This window comes from Homo sapiens, chromosome 10 (assembly GCF_000001405.40).
Source record: "Homo sapiens chromosome 10, GRCh38.p14 Primary Assembly".
NCBI classification, from domain to species: domain Eukaryota; kingdom Metazoa; phylum Chordata; class Mammalia; order Primates; family Hominidae; genus Homo; species Homo sapiens.
The window spans coordinates 111,474,256-111,486,052 of NC_000010.11; the positions used below are offsets into that span (position 1 = coordinate 111,474,256).

Below are 11,797 nucleotides of genomic sequence, written 5' to 3' on the forward strand. Positions count from 1 at the left end.
TTTTCTTTTTGGAAGCATCTCCCTAGATAGTTTGAATTTCATCCTTCTAAGTAAGTATTTGGAGAATTTAAGCACTTCTATAAGTAGAATATTACCTTATTAACAAGCTCCAGGATGAACTGATGATGCCTAGTCTCTAGATTCAAACATTTAAACTGCACGTTAAATGTTTAAATGCACATTTCTGCCATTTGTTTTCAAGCCATTATTTAAAAAATGTTTTTACCTTTTCAAAAATAATTTTTAAAAATAGTGATTAATTACAATTAATCCAACGAATTCTATACAACTATTATGTATTATCATTTTTTATTTTCCTCTTCCAGCCTGTGCCCATCTACACAGTTATACTGATACAGTTGCAATCACAATGCACATATAATTTGGTCATTTTTCTCTCATTTGGCACTTTAGCTTAAATATTTTCTACGTACCTACAAAATCTTTCTAATTATCATTTCATTGAATGCATTATCTTCATCATCGTCCATGCACCATAATTTACTTAATTTCCAGAATGTTGCACATAGAGCTTGCTTGTAATTTCTTCTTGCTAGTATTGATAATGTTGTTAATTAACATTTTTGTGCATATAGCTTTCTTTTTTCTTGATGAGTTATTGATTCTTAAAGGGAAAAAAGCCCTCATGCATTTTGAAACTGCTAGAATGTGCGAAGCAATATTCATATCCTCAACATATGGTTGCGTGTAAGCCACAGAATTCCCTCCTGTTTCCAGCGAGAGGAGGCTTGGGACACAGTTCGTTATCAGCTGTCCTCTTTGAAGAGACTTGCAGAAATCATCCATCTGCACTTGGGGAAGCCCATTTATTTTATTTTCCCTCTTTTTTATTTGCTTCTTGTAAAAATTATTTTATAGGAGCAAAGCAGCTAACTGTTACATAGATAATTAAGTCCTTGTAACAAATCTAGGAGGAAAGACAGCGCGTTCTCCTCTCACTGCCCGCCCACCCCCCGGCCAGTCCCAAAGCTGGTGTTTTCATGTAACAGTGCTGCTTCCGTAACCACCCATTCAATTTAAAACTCAATTCCAAAGCAAAGAGCCATTTCTTTTTAAATGCAGTACATCAGACAAAGCAAATATGGACACTCCAAATCAGAAAGGACTGTGAACAATTTCAGCCACACCTGGAAACATGGTTTTTAAAACTGTGGCAAGTGTTGCCAATTTCAGGCACAGGGTAGGCATTCTGGTTCATACGCCCCTAAAGTCTACCTTGTCTTAAACTAAAAATCACGAAGAATCGAGAGATCTTCATTTTATGGGAAACTGGAGCTGTACCAAATGTAAAACATCAAATTAAATTGAGCGAAAGCCATACCTGTACTAATACTTTAAAAAGGAAGACTTGAAGCCTCACGCCTTTTACCAAAGGCTTGGGCAGCTGAGCTAGTGCAGCCTGAAAATGTCTCATAAAGTAAAATTTAGGTCATTTTTATTCATTCTGTTATGCAGAGTCACAGACCTCAGAAAAACACACTAATAAAACATCACGCTCAGCTTAATGGTCTCTCCTCATTCGACTCCATAATGATAAATGAAATGCCATTAGCATAAGGCAAGTCCATTTCTTGTGGTCTGTGGAGGAGCCCAGGATTGCGACAGAATTGGAATGCAGAGAATTGATTGTTCACAGTTCAAAGGGAAAACTATGGCACATTTCATAACCCCATGCCAAGGCCGCCACTCTGGGAATGAAGGCCAAGCTCTGAGAAGGGTTGGGGTCCCTCAGACTGCAAACAGGAAGTGTCTCAGACCTGGGTATGTGGACTAGAACAATACCTGAAAATAGCATTGGAGAGAGAGACCAGAAGAGCAAGAAGTTAGAGAAGGCAGCCAGGGGCCTCTCTTTTGCTCTGCTTCCAGTCAACTTCTGCAGTCTTTATAAAAACACCTTTATGCTGAGCTCCTCTCATGGGCCAGGTAGTCTGCTGGGCTCTGGGAAAATAGCTAGAGATAAGATAGACAAGATTCCTGCTCTCATGGTGCTTACATTCTAATGAGGAGGACTTTCTGATAAATTTAAAATGGCAGTTTTGCCAGGTGCAGTAACTCACACCTTTAATCCTAGCACTTTTGTTCCCAGACCAAATGGAGGGTGGAGCTGCTTATTCTCATGGCCCAGTAACAAGGTGCAGATGAACTGGGAAAGGAGGGAGTTTTTATTTCTGAAACTGGTTACAGAGAGAAGGCTTGGAAAATATCACCCAACCAGCTCAAAATTACGAAGTTTTGCAGAGCTTATATACCTTCTAAGCTATATGTCTACGTGTCAGCGTGCGTTCATCTAAAGACGTAAGTGATTAACTTCTTTTAATCTATAAGATCTGAGTCCTGAAGACCTTCCTCTGGAGCCTCAGTAAATTTACTTAATCTAAGTGGGTCCCGGTGCTAGGGTGATTAGCCTTATCTTTTGTCCCTGCTAAATCATGGAGGTTTGGGGAGTTCCTTCAGATCCCCACTAAACTTGTTTGCGGAGGCCTGGTGAGTTTCTTCAGACCCCCAGTAAAACTTGTTTAATCCTAAGCTGGTCCTATTAAGAATTCCTTCTTTATCTTGTCATGCTTCAAGGCCCAAGAAAGGCCTAGGCAAAACTTTTGGCGGGCTTTTGTTACATTCCAGCCTTTGTATGAGGGCACTGACTCTATCAGCTTTTAATATTTATCTTAACCACTCAGTCAGTGCTGAAACAGTTGTTACGAAGGCCTACATTAGTGAGACCTGGCCTGCCACACTTTGGGAGGCCGAGGTGGGTGGATCACTTGAGTTCAGGAGTTTGAGACCAGTCTGGACAACATGGCATAACCCTGTCTCTACAAATAAATAAAATAAAATAAATAAAAAATAAAATGGCAGTTTTATAGCACTTTTTTGTGGCCTGAAATTATTGACAGGATAATAGGGTGGTAGAGTTGCATGATTTAGCAAATAAAAATCCCAGATACCCAGTTAAGTTTGAATTTCAAATAAACAAGGAATTATTTCCTTTTTAGTGTATGTCCCAAATACTGCATGAGATATACTTGTGCTGAAAAGTAATTCCTTGTTTACGTGAAATTCAAATTTAACTGAGCATCCCATATTTTACCTGATAACCCAAGTAGTGGGTAATGGGTAAGGGCAACATAAAATACAGTGGTCAGGGAAGGCTTCTGTTCTAAGACGCTTTCAGGCAGGGAACAATGTGCTTTTTGAAGGTCTATGTGATAGAAACAGATACTAAGTATTTGCATAGTGTTTGCTTGGGTCAGGCACTGTTCTAGGTACTTAACATATATTAATGTATTTAATCTTCGCAATAGTCCTGGGAGATAGATTCTGCTATTCTCCCCATTTGGCAGATAGAAAAACTGAGGCACAGACACGGTAAGTAACTTATCCAAGGTCAGAAGTAGCCAGTCAGTCTGGCTCCAAAGTTTGTGCTCTAACCACTGTTGCCTGTCATGTAAGTCCACCATTGGAAGCATTCCATTTTACCGAAATCAAGGAAGTATCTTGAGATGTACTGCTATTTCAGCCAGCTGAGGAAGACACTGTACTCTCCCCTCTCTATATACACTTCCTGTCCTCCCTGATGATAACATTTGAATAGCACTTTTTACTTACAATCACTTTTATATGCATTTTTATTGGAACACTATCTAAGTTTGATGAATCAGGTATAAGCAGACAAGGAGGGTCTCCAACGATTATAGGAATTTAATCAACTTGAACAATCAGCCTGTTTTACAGCCTCCTGCCCTTCAGCCTGTTTTTCCCCAAACTCCATGTGGAATGCGGTCACCTTGTTAGTTGGAACCAGCTCCTGACAGATCCTGGCAATTTATAGATGAGCCCAAGTGAACATTCCTCATGACCATGCTGAAGTTTCCACTCCAGGAGGAGCCACAGCTTCACTACCATAACATACAACCTATGTGCTGGCAGAATGACTCACTGCCTCTGCATCACTGGGACCCCTTCTCTACATGCAACAATGTGCCCTCTCTCCTATCCATCACTCCATTAAACCCTCCTGCCATTTTCCCTCAGGGAAATGCTGCTTTGGAAAATACTCCCAGGGTTCTCACTTGCACCAAGTAATAAAACTCTTACTGATGATTGATGAAAACCTGTGTTCTCGTGGAGAGTCTTTTGTTACTTGCCAGGTGAGTGAACTCCAGTTTTTTGTTTTTGTGTTTTTCTTTTTTCTGGGTGACATAGGCTTTGCTGTTATCCTCATTTAGCAGATGAAGAAACTCAGACTTGGAAAGATTAAGTCATGTATTATCCCATGGCAATAAGCAACAGAACTATGACTTGCCCTTAGATCTGCAAGAGCTTACTCTTGGCATATAGCCCACATCTAGCAGGGGCTCAAAAAAGGTATGTTGAACTGGACACAATGTGCTTCACCAGCTCTCAGCTGGGTGACCCCTTTGTAGAGATGCTGAATATCTTCCCTGAATATGGTATTGTCTCCCTTGAGGATGCCAATTCTTCAAATGGCTTGACAAACTCACGTGGGTGTGCCAGAAGGCTAGCTGCTCAGACCTCCCCATGGAGGTGTAAATATTTTAGTCAGTGGCAGGAATAGTACTATGAATAGTCTTATACCCATGAATAATGCAATCCCCTTCCTTTTCTCAACCAAATGACTTTAGGACATATGGGGCCGAGAACATGATGCAGATATGAGGCTGGATTATGTACATCATTAGCCCACCTCCTATGGTGATGGAATTTGTCACCCCCACAAGCGCTTTTCCATTTGCTTTCAGAGGCTCATCCTTGGTCTTACATGATGGATTTGCTTTTCAGTTATGGAGGACAGTGCCCTGGACTGGGCATACTTCTCAGGGTAAACCTTGTTTCTTAATGTGACTTCTTTTAATGTTTTTACATTGGAAGGGGGCCAGGGCTGGATTTTTTTTCTTTCAGGGACCACAGGTTCTGACTTCAGGAGCCCAAGGAGAGCTCCTCCTGCCAGCAGCAGTATTGTTCTTGGCCAAATTTGGGTCTAGTGGAGAGTTTGAGAGAAGTTTGCAGAATGGATGGGGCAGAACATGGGGGCCCAAGGCCCTTAGTACAGAGTGTTGGGGCTGGTAGCTGAGTAATGAAAAGGCATAGGTGGTGAGATGGGAAGCCAACTCCTTATTTTTATAATTAAAAAGTATATAATTTAAAATTATAAAAGTATGCTTATTTTTACCTATCTTGACTCTCCCTGCCACATCTTTATACTGTGGATTTGATTGCAAAATGTGGCATCTCTTAATGTAAGAACCACAATAATATCTTGCACAGATTCCATTCCCACTGATCATCTGGAATGGTCTTCATGGAAGCCCTGAGGTAAGCAGGGATGGGGTGCTGACCTTGATCCACAGGAGATGAGGATTCTGAGAGTCAGGGAAGTTAGGGGGCTTGCCCGAGGCTCTGCAGCAAGCAAATAATAGACAAGTGTTCAAAGGGAAGTGCTTGGACTCCCAGTTCAATATTGCTCATTTTTTCTTTAAAAAGGTGAGTACAGGTGTGGATGTTCCCCCCTCCCCCAACCCTGCCTCCTGCTTTATGAGCTCTCTGCAACTGGCACCAGGTGCCCACACTAACTCACCTCACCCTCTTTCCTGTTCTGCCCCCAAGCCTCAGTCTGGGATTTTGAAGCTGTTGTGTTGCCTCCATTCCAGAAAGCTTGGCCCACCAGCCCCAAGATAGCAAGCTTGGTTGAATCTTCCTCAAGGAGAAACACTTCCCCTCCATGTTCTGATCTGCAGAGTGGTGGATGCTGCTTTTCTGCAGGCACAATGGACAGAAATGTAGGATACTTGATGAGCACCTCTTGATAAAAGGTAAAATATGTTGGCTGGGTCTACTTTGAATAAGTGTTTCCTAGTGATTCAGAAAAGCAGTGGAGGCTGGAATGCAGACATTTAAAGTGTGAGCCATGAGTCAGTTCAGATAGAAGAGGCAGAGACTTGAGGTCATGCGCCAGCATTTAACGTAAAGATGAAATGTTCAGACAACATTGTATTAGCTGCTGGGAACAGAGGAAGGGAAAGAAACAAAACAGAAGACAGTGAGGGTGGAAAAAGGATCTACTTTAGAGTAGTAAAGACAGGTTTGAATTGAGGCTCTGCTCCATACCAGCCATGCCACACAACTCACCTTACCCTGCTCAGGCAGGTTCATCCTTATTTTATAAATAATTGTTATGAAGATTGCTTCGTTCACCCCACCAATATATTTTCTATTATGTGCCAGGCTCTGCTTCAGGAAGTGGGGGACAAAGACAAAGAATCCCTTTTAAGGAGTTTGCATTCTCAGCGAAAGTAGAAAGACTAAAGAATTAAATAAGAAACTATCAGACACTGATGGGATAGAAAATTTAAAAGACTGGTGTGATAAGGAATGCCTGGGAAGAGGCTGGGTATGTTAAGTCAGGAAAGGCTTCTCTGAAGAGTCGAGAATCGAGAAGCTTCCATCCATGCTAAGATCTATGGAGGAAGTCTTTTGGCAGAGTCAACAGCGAATTCAAAGGCCCTGGGGCTCCACAGTGAGAGGGTGGATGTGCAGGAGCAGGGCATTGGGGCAATGAGGCCAAAGCAAAAGGCCTGGACTTGATTCCAAGTGGAGTGAGGGCTAGTGGAGGGCTTTGACCAGGACTGTAACCTGATCTGATTTGTATTTTAAAAAAGATATGCGTGGAGAACAGATCAGAAGGGGCTGAAGCCAGATGCCAGACTGGGAGGCAACGCTGCAACCAAGCCAGTTGAGATTTCAGTGCCCCAGCATTTTTAGCGACTGAAATAATGAAAATATAGCCTCAAAGCTTATGTTTAATCATGAAGCCACATTATTCCCTTTGAAATATAGATTGAAGAAGCTGTCTTTACCCTAAGCTTCTCTATGTGGCAATGAGACAAAATCAACTCCTTGGAAGTCTGTCATGCCAAATATCAGTTTCCAGCCCAAGTTGAGGTTTGAGGGGAGTGGGTAGGCAAGTGGTGGATAGCTGGAAAAACACTTGAGGCAGTTTTGACATGACTTTATTCTCTCTCTGGTAGCAAGCTGTATGTACAGCATGAGCAGGGTAGTTATGCCTTTTACAGACAATAGTGGCTCTGAGCCAAGCACGAGCTTACGTGAGTGGTTAATGTACCTCATGTGGTGTGGTTACATAATGTGTGGGGTTGTGGGCCTGTGCTCCAAACCCGCTGAGTCATGCTGCCCCTGGAAGGCCACCTCGGCCTACTCCTGACAAAAGCACAGCCATTTTCCTTATGGAGTCCAACTCCCAAAGCTTAGAAATAACTGGGAAGACAGGCTGCCTTGGGGCTTACTCCCATAGATCAGGTCAGAGCCAGTATCTACCTCACCAGGTGAGTCACCCAGGGGCGACAGGTTCATATGAAGAAGGCAGGCAGGGCTCACTGTCTCCTAGAACTCATCAGGGGATTGGCACCTGCAGCCTGGGTGTTTATATTTGAATTACATTTGATAGCATGTTGAATTGGTGACTAATTGCAGCATTCCCAAACAAGGTACTTTAATTACAGCTTCTTTAATTCCAGTGAGAGCTCCACTTGGAAAACAGAGTGATGAGGAGGATTCAGATCTGCTTACTCTGATCCGTAAGTGTGAGTTGAAAAATGAATGACCGGGAAAGTCTGTGGCTTACTCAGTGAGCTCCTGAAAAGACACTGCTTTGTAACTCTGCTAGAGATGCCTCCCAAGGGAAGGGGCCAATTACAATCATTGCAGCCTCATTCTAGAAAGTTGGTGACCAGTGCACATATGGGTGTGCTGGAAGGTCAATGCTGGTTTGGTCTCAGCCTCCCCTCCTAGCTGGGAACAGTTGTCCAGATGTCATGTGTATCTCTGGAGGGACTTGCTCAGTTAGCTTGAAAAAACAGACTCACTAATTGTGCTGCCCTCTGTTGTAAATCATGGACTGATCTCCTTCACCTCTTGAGCTGTAAAATTCAATTCAGAGCTTTGAATAGGCTTCTGATAGAGTCTTCCTAGTTTTAACAGATCCTTTGACAGGTTTTCTGTATTTATTTAATGGGACTCTTGTCCCCTTGCTGCTAGACTACACATGTGGCCCAGAAAACTGGGTCAGTTTCACAGGTAAAGTTTAAATATTGCCAAATAGCTTATTTAAATCACTTTTACGTCTTTTTATTAGATGAATCCACATTCATCTGCCCACCAGGCCATGAATTTTAGCCACATTATTATTTTCCACAGTGGCCTTAAGACTGGGAATCAGTTACTTTTATATTTCCATAGAAGATAATAAGTCTTTCCACAGCCCTGGGTCTTTCTCATCTTCTGTCTCTTTCAATGCAATATTTTCTCCAAAGCAGAATGGCTTTAGAGTTCTCTTGGGACTTTTATACCTGTCATTCTGATTATAATAACAATGATGAGAAAGCCTTACCTGCAACGCCTGACACTTTCATATAAGTGATCTCACTCGATCCTTACAGCCAGCTCTGAAAGGAAGACAAGGTAGCTATTGATACTCCTATATCCTCTCTGAGCCCAGAGGAATGATATCATGGCCACGTCTTCCAGTTGAGACAAGGTCTGCATTAGCTGATGCCATCCCCTGCTGCTTTTCTGTGATGCCTGTCAACAAGCCTTGTTTTGCCAATATTACATGGTTTCTTAGCAGCCCTCAGTGTGTGCCTCATGTCAATGTCCAGAGCAGCCCTCCAGGTGATTCTCAGTGTGTATATTGGGTTAGGACTTAGACCAAGTCAAATAGGCAAATGTCCATGAAGTGCCAATGTGTACGTAAGCTCTATGAGGCATTCATGGCACAGATAGGTGCTGAGAGAGTGAAGTCAAGTAGAAAGTAAACTACCTATCGTTTTAGATTCCAGACAGATCTAATTCAAATCACACTCTTCCTGGGTCTTTGAATAAGTTACATACACATTCAGAACCTTATGATTAAATGAGATAATATAAAATGACCAGCACTTTGAAAGAGTTACATTAATAGTGGTAGTGTTTTGTGCACATCATCTCTATAATCCTTACAACACTCCTTATGAGGTAGGTACTATTCTTATCCTCATTTTATAGACTGACAAACTGAGGCACATATAGATTGGTAAGCTTAGGTTATTGGCCAACAGTTACACTGCTGCATTTTGTATTCAGGTCTTTCTGGTTCTAAACACAGCTATTGTTCTTAAAATGAGATGACCCCAAGGAAGGGCCTGATGCCCCTTATCTGCTTTCTGTGTACCTGCCAGTGCCAGGATAGCTAGAGACAGAGAAACAACTAAATAAACAAAAAGGCCACTACCAAGGGGCAGAGACAGCCCATCCCCAAATGAGCTACCAACCCCTGGGTTAATGTTATTTAACTGCACATTTTACATGCTTTTTTATTAGCCTTAATAACCACCACTTTGTTGTGCCCTTGAGTGCCCAGAAGGGCTATTGCAGTGACTGGAAAACAGTAAAAGCTCCTCTCACTAGCTTCACTAGCTTCCCTCTGGCTGATAACTGATGGGGATTGTGAACCTTCCTCTTCCTTTCTGTGCTGAAGCTGCTGTGCTGGACTGAAAAGTCCTACTTGCTCCTGCTCATTTCCCACCATGGCAGGGAGGCTGCCCCCGCTGCTGTGCAGGCCGCACCTTGATTCAGAGCTGAGTAGGGCACTATGCGTTGGAAGGGGTAGAAAAGATCACGCCATAGGCTCTGAAGCAAGCCTTTAATCCCTTGCTATTCAAACTGTAGTCTGTGGACCAGCAGCATAGACCATGGAAGCTTATCAAAAAATGCAGAATCTCAGGCCCCTCTCTAGAACTACTGACTTAGATGCTGCCTTTTAACAAGATTCCTTCCTGGTATGATTCCTGTGTCCATGAAAGCTTGGGAAGCACTGAAGAACATTGCTCTAACACTGGAAATACCCCATACACTTGCATGGGAGCTTTGGAGAACTTCGAATGCCACATGGGGAAAATTTGACTCTAAAAATAATGCAGTAGGAATAGTGAATATCAAAAAGTCTTCCCTCCTTAATGCTTCATAATCTACAAAGTGCTTTGGTGGATGCAGGGCTGGTTCTCTAAGTGCAGCTCCAACCTATCCCACCTCTATTTGTCTGGATAACTTCTTTTTTTTTAGGGGGGGTGGGGGTGGGGAGAAAAGGCCTGGCTTTGTCACCCAGGCTAGAGTGCAGTGGTGCAATCATAGTTCTCTACAGACTAGAACTGGGCTTATGTGATCCTCTCACCTCAGGCTCCTGAGTAGTTGGGGCTACAGGCATGCACCACTGTGCCTGGATATTCTTATTTTTAGTTTTGTAGATACAGGGTCTTGCTATGTTGCTCAGGCTGGTCTCGACTCCTAGCTTCAAGCAGTCTTCCCATCTTGGTCTCCCAATGTGCTGGAATTACAAGTGTGAGCCAGCATGCCTGGCCTAATGATCTCTGTTTTAAAAAGAAAACAGATGTGTTTGAGTCCTGGCTCTGCCATTCGCCAGTTGAATAACTTTATGTAAGTTCTTTATCCCTCTAAGTCTCAGGATTCTCATCTGTAAAATGGGGGTGGTGATACATATGTAAATTTCTTTGCAGAACTATTGTTAGGATGAAAGGGGCTTATACAAATAGGACACTTGGTTCAATACCTGGCCACTGGCAAATCCTCAGTAAGTGGCAGTTGCGTGGTTTTGTTTCTCTTGCTGCTCTTAGTGAAATTTCCTACTTGACTGAGCTTCACAGGGCAAAAGCTGAGGTTGTCCTTTGACTGTCTAGTACACGGTAGGTTTATAAATTTGTGGAATGAATGCTTGATCTTCCCAACAGCTAACAAGATAAGTCAGGTAATATTTTCCCCATGATATGATTTAATAATCACAAGAACCGTGGGAGGTAGACTGTATTTCCCCAAGTTAGTTTATAGATGGTGGTAGAGGCTCTCTGAGTTGGTAGAAAATTCACCCAGGTCACACAGTTTGTTACTGATCTGATGCAGGCCCATTTCTCCCCCTGCTAATCTAATGCCCTCTTTGTTTCACCTTACCACTTTCTCTCAGGCTCATTTCATCTTAAATGTGTACCTTCGCAGGGTTTAGGGTTTAACAGGTGTCATTGGTAGAAAAGAGGAGATTCTTATTGTTTTCTTTGTTAACTGACTAGCAGCTGACTAGAGGAAAGAAATTTCTTGGCATCTACCCTAAGTCCAGCCTACTGCCCTGGAAACTCATCCCTCCAGAATAGTGTTTCCCACATTCCAGTCTTTGACCAACTGCTTCTACTCTTCTGGGCCTGTCTGCACACTAGCCATGCTATTTATTTTCTATTTTATCACATCAGCTCATTTTTATTAAACAAATATGTTTAAAGTGAAACTACACTATTGCCATAAATGGAAATATCGAATCACTTTCCAATAGTAAAGAATAACAATAAACAAGTACAATGAAACGAAAACATTCTTTTTCTATGTAGGCGGATATGGTTGCCTTCAGCAGGCTATGTGCTGGGGGCCTTTCTCTTCTTCCAAATTGAGATTAACAATAATGGTTAGTGCTAGCATGTCTTTGACATTTTTTTTTTGACATAATCAGAAGTATTGGGAAACAAAGGGAGAAAAGCAATAAAAAGAAAATGCACTTGCCATCATATGAGGCGATGCTATTTAATGTTCTTTGAGTGCCAAGAAAATTATTTCATAAGACCCCAGGGGCTCCATTTCCTGAGAAACCGTATTGTAGTATGTACTATGCCATCAGATGCTATTGGATAAGATGGGCATGTCTTTA

The 11,797-nt window shown here is 42.3% G+C and overlaps 1 long non-coding RNA gene across 1 annotated transcript in view; it reads left to right on the forward strand.

Moving 5' to 3' along the window:
- The window catches only part of LOC105378485 (uncharacterized), a 47,984-nt gene extending 40,325 nt beyond the window's left edge, over positions 1-7,659 (forward strand). The window contains exons 5-7 of the long non-coding RNA XR_007062289.1: positions 4,054-4,169; positions 5,691-5,852; positions 7,575-7,659. This is a non-coding gene — a long non-coding RNA (uncharacterized LOC105378485). The remainder of the gene's footprint in view (positions 1-4,053; positions 4,170-5,690; positions 5,853-7,574) is intronic.
- The last annotated feature ends 4,138 nt before the right edge of the window (positions 7,660-11,797 follow it).